Source organism: Homo sapiens, chromosome 22 (genome assembly GCF_000001405.40).
Source record: "Homo sapiens chromosome 22, GRCh38.p14 Primary Assembly".
In the NCBI taxonomy this organism is placed as follows: Eukaryota; Metazoa; Chordata; class Mammalia; order Primates; family Hominidae; genus Homo; species Homo sapiens.
This window is the reverse complement of record NC_000022.11, coordinates 47,843,592-47,862,053: the sequence shown is the minus strand read 5'-3', so window position 1 is coordinate 47,862,053 and position 18,462 is coordinate 47,843,592. Positions and strand designations below refer to the sequence as shown.

General features: G+C 44.4%; 1 long non-coding RNA gene across 1 annotated transcript in view; it reads right to left on the bottom strand.

Moving 5' to 3' along the window:
• Window positions 1-6,453: 6,453 nt before the first annotated feature.
• EPIC1 (epigenetically induced MYC interacting lncRNA 1) overlaps window positions 6,454-18,462 on the bottom strand; it is a 223,927-nt gene continuing 211,918 nt past the window's right edge. The window contains exon 9 of the long non-coding RNA NR_122046.1: window positions 6,454-7,143. This is a non-coding gene — a long non-coding RNA (epigenetically induced MYC interacting lncRNA 1). The remainder of the gene's footprint in view (window positions 7,144-18,462) is intronic.

Genomic DNA, 18,462 nt, shown 5'->3' with positions numbered 1-18,462 from the left:
AACACCATGGAAACAGGAGTGATGACCAAGACTGTGGTGTGGGCTGGCATAGGGTCATGTCCCTGGAGAGATTAGAACAAGAACGGGATTTAAATAAGAATAAGGGACTTAAATCTCCAAATTGTGCTAGTCTCCATATTAAGATTAAAGCCTAAAGGGGAGCTGGGAGCCTTGACTCTCCAAATTCCCATGAAGATCTCTTGCTGGTGGAGGCCACCCCTCCTACTGTTTCTGATAAATTAATATCCTGCTGCATGAAGAGCTTCCAGTAACGTCACCTGGGTTTCCTCATAAGCGAAGGCCCATGGCACCTCATAGTGTAGGAAAGTCCTAGCTCAGCGGAGAGGGAGACCCGTGAGGTCTGTTCTGTGAGGAGGTAGCCTACATAGCAAAGGAATTGCAAGCTGTCATCAATTTGGATCAGCAAGGACCTGAGAGCTGGCTTAAGGATGGATTCTGAGCATGCTTGACCAAAATGGATGAAATTTAAATTGGATCAGACCGTAGGTATTGAAAAGGACCTAGAAGTCTTCACTAGAGCAGCTGTGAAAAGTCCTGATCCCTTGTTCTGTCTGGGCTCAGCTGTGACGAACGTGCATTGAAGTTGAGACACAGAATCTCTCCCGCTGTATTTTAGAGTCAGAATTCTGAAGTGAGGTAGCTGACTCGAGCCAGTGTGCCTGAAATGTCCCTGGTTATAAAACTGAGAGTCCTGCATCCTGGGAAACTCCTCAGTTCCAGGTAAACCAGGACAGTTGGTTACCCTAGTCTGAAGGCTCGAAAGGATTGTTGTATTTGGGTGGCTCAAAAGAACTGAGCAACTTCCTTATTTGCAACGTGCTCAGCTACCTCTAAACCATACGACTAAGAGGTGCAGAGAGCACTTTCTTCACCAAGGCATTAAGAAACCCTGGGGAGGCAGGGCCCAGTGGCTCACTGTAATCCTAGCACTTTGGGAGGCTGAGGCAGGCAGATCACTTGAGCTCAGGAGTTCAAGACCAGCCTGGGCAACACGGTGAAACCCCGTCTCTACGAAAAGTACAAAAATTAGCCAGACGCAGTGCATGTATGTGCCAGTAGTCCCAGCTACTCGGGAGGCTGAGGCAGAATTGCTTGAGCCCGGGAGGCAGAGGTTGCAGTGAGCTGAGATCATACAATTGCACTGTAGCTTGGGTAACAGTGCAAGAACATGGTATAAAATAAAATAATAATAATAATAATAAATCCTGGAATACCTGGGAAGAAATCCTTGAAAGTGGGTGTCCGTCCCCTGGAGGCTGGAAGTTGTGGTGGCAGATTCTGTCATTGGATTCCAAGTGGTCATTAAGAATAAGGAGGCCAGGCTCAGTGGTTCACACCTGTAATCCCAGCACTTTGGGAGGCCGAGGCGGGCAGATCACCTGTGGTCAGGAGCCGGAGACCAGCCTGACCAACATGGAGAAACCCCACCTCTACTAAAAATACAAAATTTGCTGGGTGTGGTGGCACATGCCAGTAATCCAGCTACTCAGGAGGCTGAGGCAGGAGAATTGCTTGAACCCGGGAGGCAGAGGTTGTGGTGAGCTGAGATGGCGCCATTGCACTCCAGCCTGGGTGACAAGAGCGAAACTTCATCTCAAAAAAAAAAGAGTAAGGAGATCACAGAGCTGTTTCCAGTGTTTGATCTGCAGGGAACTGTGGTAGTGGCTATTTGATTACAAGTTCCCTGTAATTTATGCCACTTTACACGCTTCAGATCATTTTCGGGGGAAGGTTCAGTCCCTCTGGAGAATCACCTTGCAAGGTAGTTACACATGTATGCTTTAAATTTTCTTCCAAACCTCTCCCAGAGGGAAATGTGGTCATTTACCAGGGTGACTGTTCAGAAAGAGACATACTCCAACCTCTGGGATTACTGGACACTATTGAGCTGATGATGCTAATCCCTGGAGACCCCAAACACCACAGTTGCCAACCCGTCTGTGTCGGGGTTTATGGGGGTCAGATGATGCATGAAACTTGATTTGAATTAGTCTCACTCTGGGTCTAACAGGCCAGCAAGAGCATCCTGTGGTTCTTTATCCAGTTCCTGAGTATAGAGTTGCAATAGACATTCATAGCAAGTGGCACAATCACACAATTGTTTTTCTGACCCAGGAGGTGAAGTCCTTATGGCAGAAAAAGCCAAGTGTAACTCTTGAACTGTTTCCTTCCACAAGGAAAATAGTAAAACGAAAGTAATGCCCTAAGCATGAAGGGCTGCAGAAACTTAGTACCATCAGCTGAGGCTGGGGAGGTACAGAGGGGATGCTTTGCCTCATCTGCGGGTTTAACTACCCGTGTGACCAGAAGCCAGAAGCATGCGTAAGGACCAAACACTGGTTGTTGCTGCTGGTCTAGATGTAAGAACTTAGTTGAGCAAACCAGCAGAGATTTAATTCCTACATGCCACTCCTGGCCTGGATAAAATTTTTTCCCTTGATATCAATAAAAAAAGATGAATAAATCACATTTGCTTTCTTACCTTGGGGTTATGTCAGTAAGACAAGGGAGAAATATATATATATTACATATATATATGTTATTTGTGTATTATATATTTTAATATATTATACATAGTTATTTATATATGTTATATATTATTTGTGTTATATATTATTTATATATTATTTACTTGTATATGATATATTATTGTATATATTATTTATATATAGTATATATTATGTATATATGTGTGTTATTTATAAATATTATTTTATATATTTGTATATAGAATAAGGTAAAAATTCAAAGTTTTCAGTAATGAAAATAAATGAAAAATCATAAAACTCAAAAGTTAATAGAGGCTGGGCACAGTGGCTCATGCCTGTAATCCCAATATTTTGTGAGACTGAGGTGGGAGAATTGCTTGAGCAGGAGGTGGAGGCTGCAGTGACTCATGATTGCACTACTGTGCTCTAGCCTTGGTGGCAGAGTGAGACCCTATCTCAAAAAAAAAAAAAGAAAAGGTTAACAGACAGATGTCATAGTTTGGATATGAATATAAGAGACCTGCCAAAAATATACAGAGATGGAAAGTTTGAGAGTGAAGAGACTGTGTGTAGGCAACATCTCAGGGGACTTCCAATGGTCCCCACAATCTTCACACTCTCCTCTCCTTGTTTGTGGGCTGGTCCTAGAGACTTGATTTTAGTGCACAGAATACAGCAAAGTTGGAGGGATGCTGCTTCTGAGATTAGGTTCCCAGCTTGCTCACTCTCTGCTTCCTCAGTGTTCATCTGATTGAAGCCAGATGCCATTTTATAAGCTGTTCTGAAAAGAATCCCATGGGTCAATGATCTGAGAGAAGTCCCTAGTGAGCAGCTTGTAAGATGCTGAGTTCTTTCAGCAACCAGGTGAGTGAGTTTGGAACCAAGTCCTCCTTCAGTCATGCCTTCAGATGAGACCACAGCCACATCCACTACTTTCAGTTCAGCCTCGTAAGACACTGCTAACCAGAGGTACCCAACTAAGCCACTCCCAGATTCCTAACCCAAAGAAACTGTAGGACAACAAGGGGTAGGTTGTTCTAAAGCCACATAATTTTAGGATATCTGTTATGCAGCTTTAGATAACTATTAACAAAACAGATGGGAAAAAACACAGCAGGCAATAGGAACCAAAAAGAAGAGGAGATAGCTCTACAAAAATGCAGAAAGTATGTCTATATTGAGTCAAAATAATTGTCAAGGATAACAATTTATACAAAATGATTGAAGTTATTACTTATGATAATGATATCACATTTCTAAGCTCATTTGCACTTAATAAAACACACCTAAAATTGATAGAGCAAAAAATTTCAAAACTACAGGGAGAAATTAATATATATATAATCAAAGTGTGAGTTTTTAACATTCTTCTCTCGATTGTCAACAAACCAAATAAAGAAAGTATCAACTGTTGAAATAATGTACCCTAGAACTTAAAGTATAATAAAAATATATATATATAAAAATGCAATTAAAGTGTGATTCATTTACCAGATCAATGTACCCACTTATTAGAGAAAACAAACTCATGTGGGGCATAGACCAAGGTAGGCCATGTGCTAGGTCTGGGAAATCGCAGTGAGATGCTATCACGAGGATCATTTTTCAAAGCACATTAATATTTTAAGTTTGTAACAATATTCACACATTTTAAAATATGTGTATTAATAATAGCTACAAGTCAATAAGAACTCATCAGGGAAATTAAAACATTTCAAAGTAAATGATAAAAATACTACACCAAATATTAACATAATCTAGAAAAAGCAGTTTTGAGAGAAAAATTTAAGCTTCAAACCTACAATCTGGAAATAAGGAGCCTATACACTAATGATCTAAGTGCCCAGTTAAGTAGTTATAAGAGGTACAGAAGAATAATCCCAAACAAAACAGAGATAAGGATATATTATAATGAGAATAAAAGTTTTAAAAAAGAGACATTAAAAAAGAGTGGGTCTTAAAAAGTACTAATAGAATAGTGTTCCTCCATGTAGTATATTCTAGAATTTCAAACTGACTTTGAAGAACTTAACGAGGAGTGAATAAGACACAGCCACAAATGGTTATAACTGCAATTAGAAAATGGCAAAGACCATAGAAGACATGGAGCAAGCACAATAACAGTTTAAGGAAGACAGAGAGAGAAAGAGAGAGAGAGGTTGAGAGAGAGAGAGAGGTTAAGAGACAGAGAGAGAGATGGCCTTTCTATGAGGGAGCAGACGGAGGTGTGCCCTGAATTTGAAAGACAAGAAAGAATGAGACATGCAGAGATGTAGGGAAAGGATGTGTGAGGTTGGGTGGGTTTGGAATAACAGAGTCCCAGGCCTATCCATCCGGACGGCCAGTGGGGTCATGCACTATCAGGAGGGACTGGAGGCAAAGGGAATGATGCTGTGTGAATGCTGGGAAGCCTGTGGGTCTTCCCTCCGGATTGTGGATCTCTTGAGAAAAGCTGGGGGGGGGGAAACAAAGCAGAAAAAAAGTCTTAATTTTGTCTAAGATACACACACACACACACACACACACACACACACACACACACACGTATACATGTAAATGGTTGTTTAAAAACAAGGATGCTACAGTGCTTAAAATTTAAAACAGCAGTTTGTGCCCCTTCTCATCCACCTTTGATTCTTGCTTCCCAGATGCAAGGACCTTTTTTTGATATTTAACTCCATATTTTCAAGTCACATACTTTCATCCTGTTACTTGAATTGTTAGGTTTAGGTCTCATCTTTTGAAGATGATTCAGCTTATGGATGTGGCTCATCACATGCACACTCCCATACACACACTCTCACACACATTCACACACACTCATACACAATGGCACACACTTGACACACTAGCACACACACATTCACTCACATTCTCTCACAGGCATTCACACACTCACACTGGCTTCACCTTTCCCCAACATAGTTGTGGTGGATGATGATTACATATTTATATCATCATCATTATGTAAATAGTGCTCTTGGCTAGAACGTTTAATGCACTATAATTACATCTCCTTTAATGAACTTTGTTTTCTTCAGGGATAATCATCTTGTTGAAATATATTTTTTTTTTTTTTGAGATTTTAATGTGCTTAGGACTGGTATATCCTGCAACTCCCCTGCCGATGCACACGCCCCTGTCAATGTATGTCCCTTTGTCTGATAATTGCTTTCTTGGATGTTCATCATCACCATCCTGGACAGCCTCTTCCTTTCCTTCCTGGGTGTAGTCACTGTTTCTTGGAGCTACTTGGTTTATGGATGTGTTTTGTTGAATCACATGCTACAGGACTGTCCCCAAAAAAGGCAAATGAGTAATATCTGCTTAGAGTCTGCATGTAAGAAAATGCCTTTATTCTTCCCTCCTATGTGAATGAAAGTTGGGCTGAGTAGAAAATGCTATGTGAGGCCAGGTGCGGTGGCTCACGCCTGTAATCCCAGCACTTTGGGAGGCCGAGGAGGGCGGATCACGAGGTCAGGAGATCGAGACCATCCTGGCTAACATGGTGAAATCCCATCTCTACTAAAAATACAAAAAATTAGCCATGCGTAGTGGTGGGTGCCTGTGGTCCCAGCTACTCTGGAGGCTGAGGCAGGAGAATGGGGTGAACCTGGGAGGCAGAGCTTGCAGTGAGCCGAGATCCCACCACTACACTCCAGCCTGGGTGACAGAGCGAGACTCCATCAAAAAAAAAAAAGAAAGAAAGAAAGAAAAGAAAATGCTACGTGAGAGATATTTTCCTCTAGAAATTTGAAGGCATTATCTATCTCCTAGCTTTCAAGGTTGCTGTTGAGAAGTTTGATAGCACTGGATTCCCCAACACTTTGAATGAACCTGATTTTTCCCACTAAAAATGATATCCTACTTGCCTCATTAAAGTTTAGCAATGATGGGGCTGGTTCGGGTTTTTATAATCGATTGTACTGAATAGTCTGCAAACCCCTTCAATTAATTTATTCAACACAAATATATCTAAGTTCTACCACACGCCAAGCATTTTCTGGGTCCAGGGAGGCAGACAGAGCAGTGTTCTTGAGCATCTTACCCTCTAGCAGGGAGATAGAAAATAGACAATAAACATCATGCATGAGCAAATGGCTTTGTGATGTGTTCTATGAAATCAAAGAAAAAATAAATGAGAATGCCAGAGACATGGGGAGTGGGTGGGTGGTTGCAACATGAAACAATGAGGTAAGGGGGTGAGGTAGCCAAGAGTTAGAAATCTCATTCCAGGTGGAACAAGAGCCATGCAAAGGCTCTCAACCAGCCCCTGGTGCTGCCATAACAAAGCTCCACCGCCCAGTGACTTAAAGAGCAGACATTTATTCCTAGCCATTCTGGAGGCTGGAACGGCCAGTGTCAAGGCCCCGTAGGGTTCAGTTCCTGGCTTGTAGGTGGCCACCATCTCATTGTGTCCTCACACGGTGGAGAGCAAGGGAGGGCCAGGTCTCAGTGTCCCTCTTTACCAGGGCATCGATGCCATCCTGAGGCTCCACTCTGAGCTCATCTAAGCTTAATCACCTCCAAATGCTTCATCTCCAAATACTCTCCCACTGGGGATGAGGGCCTCCACAAATGGATTTTGGAGAAGACAACTCAGTCCGCAGCAGGCTCTGAGGTAAGCAGGTTCCTGGCAATGTTGAAGAAACATCAGGGAATTAGAGTGGCAGGGGTAGACTGACAGCTAGGGAGAGTGGTAGATGATGAGACAGAGAGATCATGAGGCCCTTATCAGCTTCTAGGAGTGGGGATGGGGTGCTCTGACTTTTCTTCCGAGTTATAGAGGGACCCAAGCAGGCCTCTTAGCAGAGTAGTGACAATGAGTTAACACAGCTTTACAGTCTTACTGTCACTCCGGAGTTAAGGACAGCCTGTGTGAGGGTAGAAGCAGGAAGGCCTGTTGGGAAGACCCGTAGCAGTGCCGACGAGAGACAAAGTGGATGCTCTCAGTACAGCAGCAGCAGTGAAGGAGAGAACTGGTTACATTCTAAATACATCCTGAAGGCAGAGCCAGTGGGATTTCCTGTTATATTGGAGGTGGAAAGAAAAAAGAAAAAGAGGAGCTTAAGATGATTGCAAAATGTTCGGCTTGAGCAACTAAAAGGAGTAGACGTAGCATTGCTGAGATGAGGAAGGCTGTGGGTGAAGTGGAATTTGGGGGGATGGTGAGGCATCTAATTTTGTACATTTTGAGTCTGAGATGACAGACATCCAGAGAATGTGACAAGTACAGCTAGATAGATTAGTCTGGGATTAGGAGGAAAGTTCTAATCTGCAGACATAGAGTCCTTAAAATAGGGATGGGCTTCAAGATCTTGCCCTGAATGAGAGCCATGGAGACGGTGAGTTTGGACCTCATGCAGAACATCCAATATTGGGGCACTCCAACAATTAAAGCTCAAAGAGAATAGGAGGTGCCAGAACAGGAGGCTGAGAAAGAGCAATCAGTGAGGCGGGAAGGAGAAGACAAAATGAGCAAGAGGGGGCGAGGTTGGGAAGCCATGCAAACAGCACATACAAGCTCTGCTGTGAGAGCAAACCACACGGCACCTGAGAACTGACTGCTGGTCTAGCAATATGAAAGTTACTGGTGACTGGATGCCTCATTGATGTCAGTTTAGAAAAGAATGAGAGACAGGTCACAGATAATAATCTTTGTTGCAAAACAGAGTAAAAATAAATGTAGTAGTTGGTGGGAAAAGTGGGGGTTAAGAGAAAACTCAATTTGGAAACTTATGACCTCAGTACTGGGAAATGTTCTTAAATTATTTCTTTGCTATTTTCCCCTCCCTTCCACATGGATAGTCTCTCCTTTTGAAGCTTAACCATGACGATATGTGAAGTCCTGGACAGACCTTCTTCTTCTCCTTCTTCCTTCTTCTTCCTTCTTCTTCCTTCTTCCTTCTTCTTCTTCCTCTTCCTCTTCCTCTCCTCCTTCTCCTTCTTCTTATTCCTCTGCTATTCTCCATTTCTTTGTACTGTTAGTTTCTGAAAGGTTCCCTCAGAATTTTCTTGCACCCTACTAATGAAGGAAGGTAGGTGTTCTACCCTGGCTTCCAGACTCTCCCCAGCAGGTCGGGTTCAAGTTGCCCCTGGTGGTAACTGGCTTGAAGATGCGCCCATTCCTGGTGACTTCCTTTCCCCGTCTCACTTTCCCGCATCCCTGTGGGAGTTCTCTTCACCTTTTGAATAAGCTAGTTGTACTTGAAGCCTCACCTTGATGAGGCCCCAAACCAAGATACTGTGTACTAAGTCACTTTCACTGAGCCTTTTCTTTCCCGTTTTCAAAATTGTGTCGTCTTCATCTGTTCCCTTTGTCATGTGGGCTTAGGCCTTTTGAAAAATCCTTCTGTCGTAATTGTAATGAGGGTTTGAGAAGAGAAAGAGCTAAGTGAGTGTGTTAAATTTGCCATCTTCATCTAGAAGACATTTCTCAATCAACATGGTATCAATGACACCTTGCCCATTTGCCTGTCCATTCGTGAAATGTGAATGAAAACTTGTAATTTCTCCCCATTAAAGGGGAAAAAACACAGTTTGACCTGTCATCTGTGATTCTGCAAAATTTACTGGAGTCCAAAATTTGGTCTCTATGCCAACAGACAGTTAGCTTTGCCCAGGTATGACAGTATTTCATCTTTGCACGCAGTAAATAAGCTGTGAGCACCTCCCATCAGTGCGGGAAGCGGACGGATGCTCGCGGCTGCCAAAACCCCTCCACCAGCCCTTTCATCCTTGCACCGTGAAGCCATCCTCATTAGCACTAAACACAACGTTGCCACCAGCAAGGTCACTCATAGACACTCGAGTTCCTTTATTGCCTGCACAACACCAAGAATAATGAAAAGACCGTCTTCCCAAATCAGGATCCAGTGAAGTCCGTGTTGCCCTGATGGTGACATTAGAACAGGCTGAATTGTTTTCATTAAAAGGCAGCCCATTACTGTAGATGAGAAAGGAGTTCCACAGAGGGAGATTTCAGATCTATGCTTTGTTTCACTGAATTATGGAAAATTAACATGCTTCTGTCTTCACTCCTAAAGGTAATAACGTTCTCTCAATTGGAGGGACGGAGCACGTATGATTAGGCAGCCTGGAGGGGTGAGGCATGTGTCTAATTTTGCCTTCAACAACAACAGCAGCAACAAAAATACCCGTTCATTAAAAGCAGAGAAGAAGAGATATTTATATATGAAATGAGTGCTTTTGATTTGATCCCTAGAGTAAAATGTCATAAATAGCTGTTAATTTGGGTCTGTTTACTAAAAATTTAATGCCTGCAGAAAATCTATTTGAATCATCACAAATGTAATAATGTCTACCAGGAAGAAAGTGGGAAATGGTAGCAGCAATTTGGGATGAAACTTGAGTGTACTGGAGCTGGTGTGTGCCCGAGCACAAACTAATTAACGTTTGTGTGCTGCCCAACTCGCAGATTCACACTCAGCATCAATTAGAGGGGCCAACCTACTCCTCAGGTCTTTCTGCAGCAATAAAATCATTTTTTCCAGTTCTAAATATTATTGCTATTAATATGTGGTCCTTAAATGTGTGTTCTTAGCTCTCTTGATGAAAGGGGTTAATTATCCTGATGATTATTTCATCATATGATTTTGTTGCTCTGCCTGATAAAACAAAAGACATTTCCTGGGACAAGAGGAGGGATAGCCAGTAAAGTCGTTCTGTGTAAACACCACCGCACTGAAACCAACAAATGGCTGGGTCCATGGTAATGATGTCCCCAGAGAACAGCACTGTGGGGAGAGTGGGGACCTTTGATCTGGGCTCCTCAGCCAAGCAAAGAGAGGAAAGGAAGCTTTTGCTTTTCCAGAGCATTCAAAGGCAACTCCTGACCCCCCTATTGCTCCTATGCTTGCAAAATATTCATTTCCTTTGGGTATTTCAGATATGAAAGTGTTTGGATCAAAAGACCAGAGAAAACGGCCTGAGTTTTGTGTTCCATTCAGCCAACTAGCCTGCATGTGTTAATTTCAACTGTCTGTGAAGTGCCTGAGATACAGGCATACCTGGCCTCCCATTTCTGCCTCAGCCCTTCAGGAGAGATCAGGGCATCTCTATGCTACCAATGAAGACGTCCACATGCAGAAATAGTAGTTGGTTCTCTAAGGTCAGAGAGTTGGCAAGGTTTAGCCAGGACTTGAACGGAGCCCCCTCCGTTTTCAAGCCTGTTTTCTTTTAAATACACTAAGTTGCTGTCTCAGTCTACCTAAAATATCTGTCTGAGGAACAACATCATTCAGAGCCCACGCAATTGGGGCCATGGCTTCAGGCTGTGGTCAGTCTTCATCTAAGGGAGCCCTGCCTGGTGATCTAGAGACAAAGTTGCTGCCTCAGCCCATGGGCAGAAGGGTGGCTCACTGAACAGGGGATTAGCAGCTTCCTGTCCATACATTATCAGGGAAGAGTAAGCTCTGTTCCTCTTGAGGCTGAGGGCCAGAGGCCTTGGAATGATACCAGGGTCTCAGATTTCAAATCCACCTCTGTCCACTCAGCCCCCTCCTGAGTGAGTCTCTCAGCATCTAGGATTTTCCTACCTCCTGAGGTCTTTAGGAAGCTCTGTGTTGTGCCCAAGGCAGCTGGCTGGCTATAGCCTGCTGTCTTGTTGGAACTTTTCCAGGAACAGGATCATGTTCCCACCCCCCCACCTGGAACTGCCCAGTGGAGCTCAGCCCTGTCCCACTCTGAGACTGGAGTGTGTTCAGGGATTTTTCTTTCCTTTCCTGTTTCCTTTCGGTTGTTGCTAGAGACACATAATTTTTTCTGCAGGGCTGGAGCCATTCCTCTGACCCTGACATTTAGCCCATAGCCTTTGCTTTCTCCTTCTCAGAGTAGTCCTTTGAGGACCAGCCTGCTTCCGCCTTTGTGCACCATGCTCAGATGGGCTGAAACAACCCCCTACAGTCTCAGAAATGCCAAGACTTTCTTCTCAGTCTGGACTGCACAAGAAACCAAAGGCCAGCTTGGACAATCTACCACCGGGGAAGATTGCTGGTTGCTGACATAAAATCAGATTTTTATCAGATTCCAACGCCAGGCAGCATAGTCTAACTTTGTAATATGAATATGAACAAAGAAAGTTTAGGATAATTTATGATGGAGCCAGTAAAGTGATTCTAAGATTCATTAGTTGTCATGGTACCCCCCCCCCACACTGACATGCACACACAATCATACCATTAACTCAGGCGCTCTAAATGTGGGAATTTCATTGTAGGAGGTTCCTGGGTGGTGAGACCAAGCTCCAGGATGACAAGCTTAATGGCAGAAGGGATCATTGTGCCTCGGTTTTCACCTCCAAGTCACAGCATTTAATACCATGACTGGTAGATTTAATACCATGACTGGTAGATTTAATACCGTGACTGGTAGATGGTAGGAACACAACAACCCATGAATCAATAAATGAATGGACAAATAAAATAACAAAATGGAAGCAGAAGAAGGCAGCTTATCTGCTGCCTTAGACCTTCATGATGTCAGCCAAATTCAGTCACTCTCTGTTTCCTTCACAAGATCTCATGGCAATACTGTGAATCTTCTCTAGCCAAAGCCCTTCTAGTCACTTATAAACTTACTGTCAATAATACCTTTCACTTACATACAAAAAAGTTTCTGTAATGTGGGTCAAACTGCCGTGCTGTTGTGCTAGCCCTGAACTAAATATGTAACAACCCTTATATTTGGAAGTTGTCTTTAACTTGGCACTGGAATCTCGATTGCAGCACAACAGATGTCACTTCAGGGCTATGCCTCTCCTCTTGCAAAAACACATAAATAAGCAAAGAAAACTAAAAGAAACAAGAAGCCAGTACTCATCCGGGTGGTGCATGGAAGCCCACGTGTAGGAGCTCAGGAGAGCCGATGACAAGGCCAATGATACCCTGATGGTCACCCAAGTTCAGCCACAGCAGGGGTATTTATACCACGGGCATGGGGCAATGGAGAGTGGATAAACCAGCACAGCCGTCCAAACCCCACCTGCCTTCTCCCTTCCCTTCTCTTCTGGATCTGCACTCCTGAGTGGACACATGGTCTGCAGCAGCAGTCCCCAACCATTTTTTTTTCCTTGGACTAGGGTGAGGGGGGGTGGTTTTGGGATGATTCAGGCACATTACATTTATTATGCATTTTATTTCTATTATTATTATATTGTAATATGTAATGAAATAATTATACAAGTCACCATCATGTAGAATCAGAGGGAGCCCTGAGCTTGTTTTCCTGCAACTAGCTGGTCCCATCTGGGGGTGATTGGAGACAGTGAAGGATCATCAGGCATTAGAGTCTCATAAAGAGCATGCAGCCTAGATCTCTGGCATGTGCAGTTCACAATAGGATCCACGCTCCTCTGAGAATCCAATGCCGCCACTAACCTAAGAGAAGGTGGAGCTCTGGCGGTAATGTGAGTGATGGGGAGAGGAGCAGCCATGAACACAGATGAAGCTTCACTTGCCCACTGCTCACCTCCTGCTGTGAGGCCTGCTTTGGAGATTAAGGCTCTGGTTTACAGAATTCCTGGCCTGGGTAGACACGTTGCCATGCTTCCTAATGCGTGCCTTGCTCTTGGTGAGCAATGCAGTGGGAGAGATGCAGGCTGCAATGGTGGTTTATAGAAGCAGAACACAACAGTCTGCTTTCTGTTTTGGAATCGGGGACTTGGGCTCAGCTCATGGTCTAATGACTCCTGTTTTTAATTAAAAGGGTAAATTCAGAGAGAACATCATGTGCGCCTGTATTCAGGAAGCACAGACTGTGGGGGAAGCCTGTGCAGGAGACAGAGGGCAGCCCCACCTCATTCTTCTGCTGGTCACTCTGTGCTCTGGCAGGAACCACAGGCAGCGGCCTCCCAGTCCACGTGGGGACACGTCCGCAGATGTGTGAAATCGGAAGGATGTTCAAGTTTCCTAAGAGGGGTTCAGTCATGGCGCACAGGTGACACAGGAGAAATCCAGGCAGGCTCCATGTAGGAGGAGACATCTGAGGAGAATCCTGAAGTTCTGAGTGGCACATTGTGAACTGATGGAGACTTCTCAGGGGAGGACATAAAGCCTGAGGGAGGCCATTTCCTTCATCCTGTCCTCTATCCGCCCTCGTGCCTGCCACTGGCTGCCTGCACATTAATTTCCCACGAACCCCAAAGGAGAGATAGTGGCAATTAATATTTTTATGCAAATGTTTTGTGCCTCAGGGCGTACCCTTGCTGTGATTTATGAACAATGATTAAAAATAACTCGTTTAATGTAATCTAACAGGAACAAATATGGGAAGACAAGATGAAATTAAATGTCTTTCCCCTGGAAAAAGAACTTCGAGGGTCACCCCCTTGGAAATGCAAGTGGTTTCTTCCACTGGAGTTCGAGGTTTTAGACCCCAATATGAAATTCTAAAAATAAAAGATGTTGTATAAATATGTTATCCTGAAATTAAGTCTACACCTCCCTTTGATCTGCTGGCACCTTTTTGGGACTCTGAGTTTTCTCTCTGCCCACAGAGTCATGGATGTGGAAGAGGATGAGCCGGTAAATTTACTAACACAATTCCCTCCCCGGGGCCCACGTGGCTTCTTCCAGGAAGGGCTCGTCTTTGACTGGGTCAGAAAGAATGGGCCGAGTAATCAACAGATCTTGGGTGCTTCTCCCTGCATGCAAATTACTAAGTTACCAGCCATAACTCTCACCCCTCATGGAATCGCCAGAGTCACAACCTAACAAGGTTGCAGACATGTGACTCTGCAGGAGGCTCTCCACCTTCACAGGCTGGAGCCTTAGGGGGCACCCCCAGTTTTCATTTGGTTGGTAGATACTATTACATAACAGGGAAGGAGCTCAAGAGGTCAAAGCCCAGCAGAGAGTGCTTTGCATGAGGAAGTGATGCTTAGACTGTGAGAGCTGATCTGAAGTGTACCTCCTAGGATGCACCTATTTAAACATTTATTTGCCATCCAGAACTGTGCAAAGTCATTCAGACATGTTCCCACTGCAGCTGCTACACCCACACACGAAGATGTTACACATTCTCACCCCGAGGTGATGTGTCCCGGGTCTGACACACAGGGAATCAGCCAGCAGGCACAGACACACTCAGAGCCAGCAGTGCCTGCAGTAAAGGGGGCCGGCCTCCTTCAGATAGTCGATGGCTTTGCAGCCTGGGATCTTCTGAGCTTTATGGCTCAGTGTTTCTTCAGCCTTCTCCCTCTGGAAAGTCCTGACTTTCTGGGTCATCTCATGAGGGTATCCATGGGTCTTTGTTTCCAAGAATGTGTGCTAAGCCACCCAGAGTTCAAGGCAAGTAAAACGGATCATCCATAATCCTTCCTACTGGAGGATAACCAAAAGCATCAGAGGCCCCGTTAACAGGCATTTCTTTATGCTGACAACCAACCATCCATCTGTGCAACCATCCATCCATCTGTCCAAGTGTCCATGGCTCCATCCACTCTCCATTCACTCACAGTTTTCAATGAGCACATGCTGTGTGCGAGGGGCTAGGAACCACTGGCCTCTCTGCTCTTCTGGGTCACTCTGTCCTGCTGAATGAATGGGAGGCAAGAAGAGGAGATAACTATCTCTCAAAGGGCATCCTTTACACAGACAACATGCAGCATTCTATAATTTAATACACTTAATGGCTCTCAATAACTCTTATCTGAATAAAATAATAATAGATTTCACTGAATGGATTCATTTATTCCTTCATCCATTAGCCCATTCACTTAATTAATATGTCTCATTCATTCAACACATACTTCCTGAACACCTACTTTGTTCCTGATATTCTTCCAGGAACTTCAGATACAGCTTTGAACCATAAAGAAAATTATGTTTCCTGTCCATCATAAAGCTTACTTACATATATTACTTACAGATAATTTTAAGTATAAGCTGATATTACAACTGATTAAGTATCAAATGCTATCAAGTATCAAATGCTTTCTGATACTCATTGTCTGTAATATTAAAGAATGCCATATTTCATCAATTCCATGATACATCTTCTTCCACATTTTAAAACCTCTGAAATCTGGATGTCCTTGCCATGTCTGTTAACCACACAGTGGTCTTTATGTAATGGTCATTGTCTAGGCATGCATGCCAAAGCTTGCAGAACAGGTGCAGTGACTGGGAAATAAATCCTGGATCTTCACGTGGGGCACTCCCTTCATGAATGCTGCCCAGATGCTCTGGAGGGCAGAGGATGATTGTGAAAAACAGAAATATAGGCAATTCCTAATCAAAAAAGTTTCAGAGTGTTGGGTTGTAAATACTTGTTTAAAGTTTTAAGGATACTACGATTGGTAGGCAGAATAATGGCCCCTGAAAATGTCCATGACCTAATCCCAGAAGCTGTGAATGCTGTTACACAGCAAGGAGGCATTAAGGTTGCAGAAGGAATTAAGGTTGCTCCTCAGTTGACCTTAGCATAGGGAGAGTGGCCTGGATGATCCAGGTGGGGCCGGTGTAATCAAAGGCTCTTTAAAAGTAGAAAAGGGAGGCAGAAGAGTTCAGGTCAGAGAGATTTCAAGATGGTAGGTGTCTGTTGGCTTTGAAAGGGAAGCAAGGATCCTTCAGCCGAGGAACACAGGCAGCCTAGAAGCTGAAGAAGGCAAGGAAATGGATTTCCCCTGGAGCCTCCAGAAGGAATCAGCCCTGTGACACCAAGACTGTCATCCGGTGATGCCCATGTCAGAAGTCTGACATACAGAACCACAAGATACTATGGTGGTGCAAACACAATTGTGGTTGTTGCCCTTTTAATGGCAGAAACTGCAATTACTTTTGCACCAACCTAATAATAAATGTGTGTTGTGTTAAGTCACGAAATTAGTGACAATTTGTTACCACATTGATAAGAAATGAACACAAATACATTACCAAATTTATTCCACTTCTGTTTTCCTTATGTACCCACAAAAGTGATATAGGTTTAAAGTATGTGATATATACTAATATACTAATTCCAAGTTATGGGAGAGCAATGCATAGATAAATTTAATTGGGCGTGAAAGGAAAATAGATCTGGGGACCCCGAACTCACTCAGCCAAAGGGAAAAGTCGAGCTGGGAACTGGACCACACAAACCTGTCTCCCATCTTTACTCCTGAAAAAGACGGCTACAAAGATGAAAAGCTACATACCTCCCTCACATTTTGCCCAGAAGGAAATTCCTGGTGGCCCCCAAGATCATCACCCTAAAACAGTTCTGCTGAAGTGCATCCTGCAACGTAAATTGATCGCTTATCTTCCCAGACACAGGAACACAGGCCAGAACTCAGAGTCATCCCCCTGCTCACCTGAGACAAATGCATATTTCATTGCTTCCTCTGCCCTCTTGTCTACATTACCTTATGTAAAAATGCAGATTGCCTGACGCAGACAAAGGCATGAATGGCTGTTTCTCCTACCCTCCCGGCACATGAAATTATGTATTTTTCAGTATCCTGCCCTTTCCCCTTTAAATATTAAAGCCCTCAAAATCATCTTCAGAGAAAGGCATACATCTGTCTCTTGGATGCGCGTCCTTAATTTTGGCAAATAAACCTAAAATGATTGAGATTTGCCTAGGTCATTTGCTTTGATCCACGTTGACAATTTCATTTTTCCTGTCTTATGGTACATAAGTAATCAATGACAATCAGTGACACCTTAGAGCAAATGAATCCACTACGAACAAGGCAACGTAGTCAGCACACGCCCATCTTCAGATGTGGAACATAAGTGCAGTAAGAAAGCGGGTGAGATTCAATTCCTTAGCTTCCTCCCCACCCCCTGTAAGTCCCATAGCACCCTTCTGGCCTGAGTGGTTGTGCCCAGATCTCAGAAGGAAAATACCAGACTCGGAGCCCGGCCCTTGGGGAGCATCTGGGGGACCAAGGATCTGAACCACAGATCTGAGGGATGTGGGGTCCATCCTAGCTGCCCAGCCTCGGTAGAGGAGGACTGTGCTGACTGTGCTTAGTCTTCTAACGTTGGCCTTATGCCCTGTCCCTCCTGCACAGGAGGTTGGGGCCAGTTATGAGTTTGAGAGGTCAGATGAATGTGTCTATCTCCCAGGGACCGGGAGAAATGAAAATCTTCATTGCACATGGCCCCTGGGCTGGATCTTCCACACCTGTTTTTCTTTCCTAACAGAGCCAGGTGCCAAGTACGGGTCTGCAGTTGCAATTCCGTGGCAATGACCCCCCTGAAAATAACCTGCACAGAAACGTCACTTAGGAATCTTTATGACTCGAGCTGTTCATCTATCTTCCCAACAGGTCAGCTCTTGGCTAACTGTGAAAAAGATTTTTCAGAAAACCTTCTCAAATAAATCACAAATTCCTTTCTCTCACAACTTAGAAGAACAAAACTTTATGAACTTGAAAGGTAAAGGAAGCAGCACCTTTCTTAAGGGCTCCAAGGAGTCCTCATGCCGGTCCCTCTCCCTGCCGCGCTCCGTGCTTCTCACTGCCAGCAACCCGCGGGTGCACCAGCAATTCTCTCCCTGGTGATCTCTCTCTCCTGGAGGTCACCGGGAGCTCAATTTATGTGCTGCCTGTTTGAGAGCAAAAGAGAGAGAGGAAGTCTCCAGAACTTGCTCTGACCCACTTGGAGATGAGCTGCTGTCTCCCCAGAGCATCCTTCAGGCGGATGAGGCACTGTGAGCCTTTACTCATGCACGTCGTCAGGGCTCTGCACGGCCCCCAGGAATAGGACATGCCTTTGATCCCAGGGGAGCTGCTGGTCTCCACACCCTGGTCCTCACTTGGGGTACTGGGGACTGAGACTCTGCTTCTCCCTGCCTCCCTGTACTCCTCCAGGGGTGCCTCAGACAGCAGTGTGGCCGGGGCTGAGACTCTGCTTCTCCCTGCCTCCCCGTCCTCCTCCAGGGGTGCCTCAATGTGGCCGGCAGCGGATTTCCCTGGGCAGGGATTGTGGTAGGTTCTCTGCAA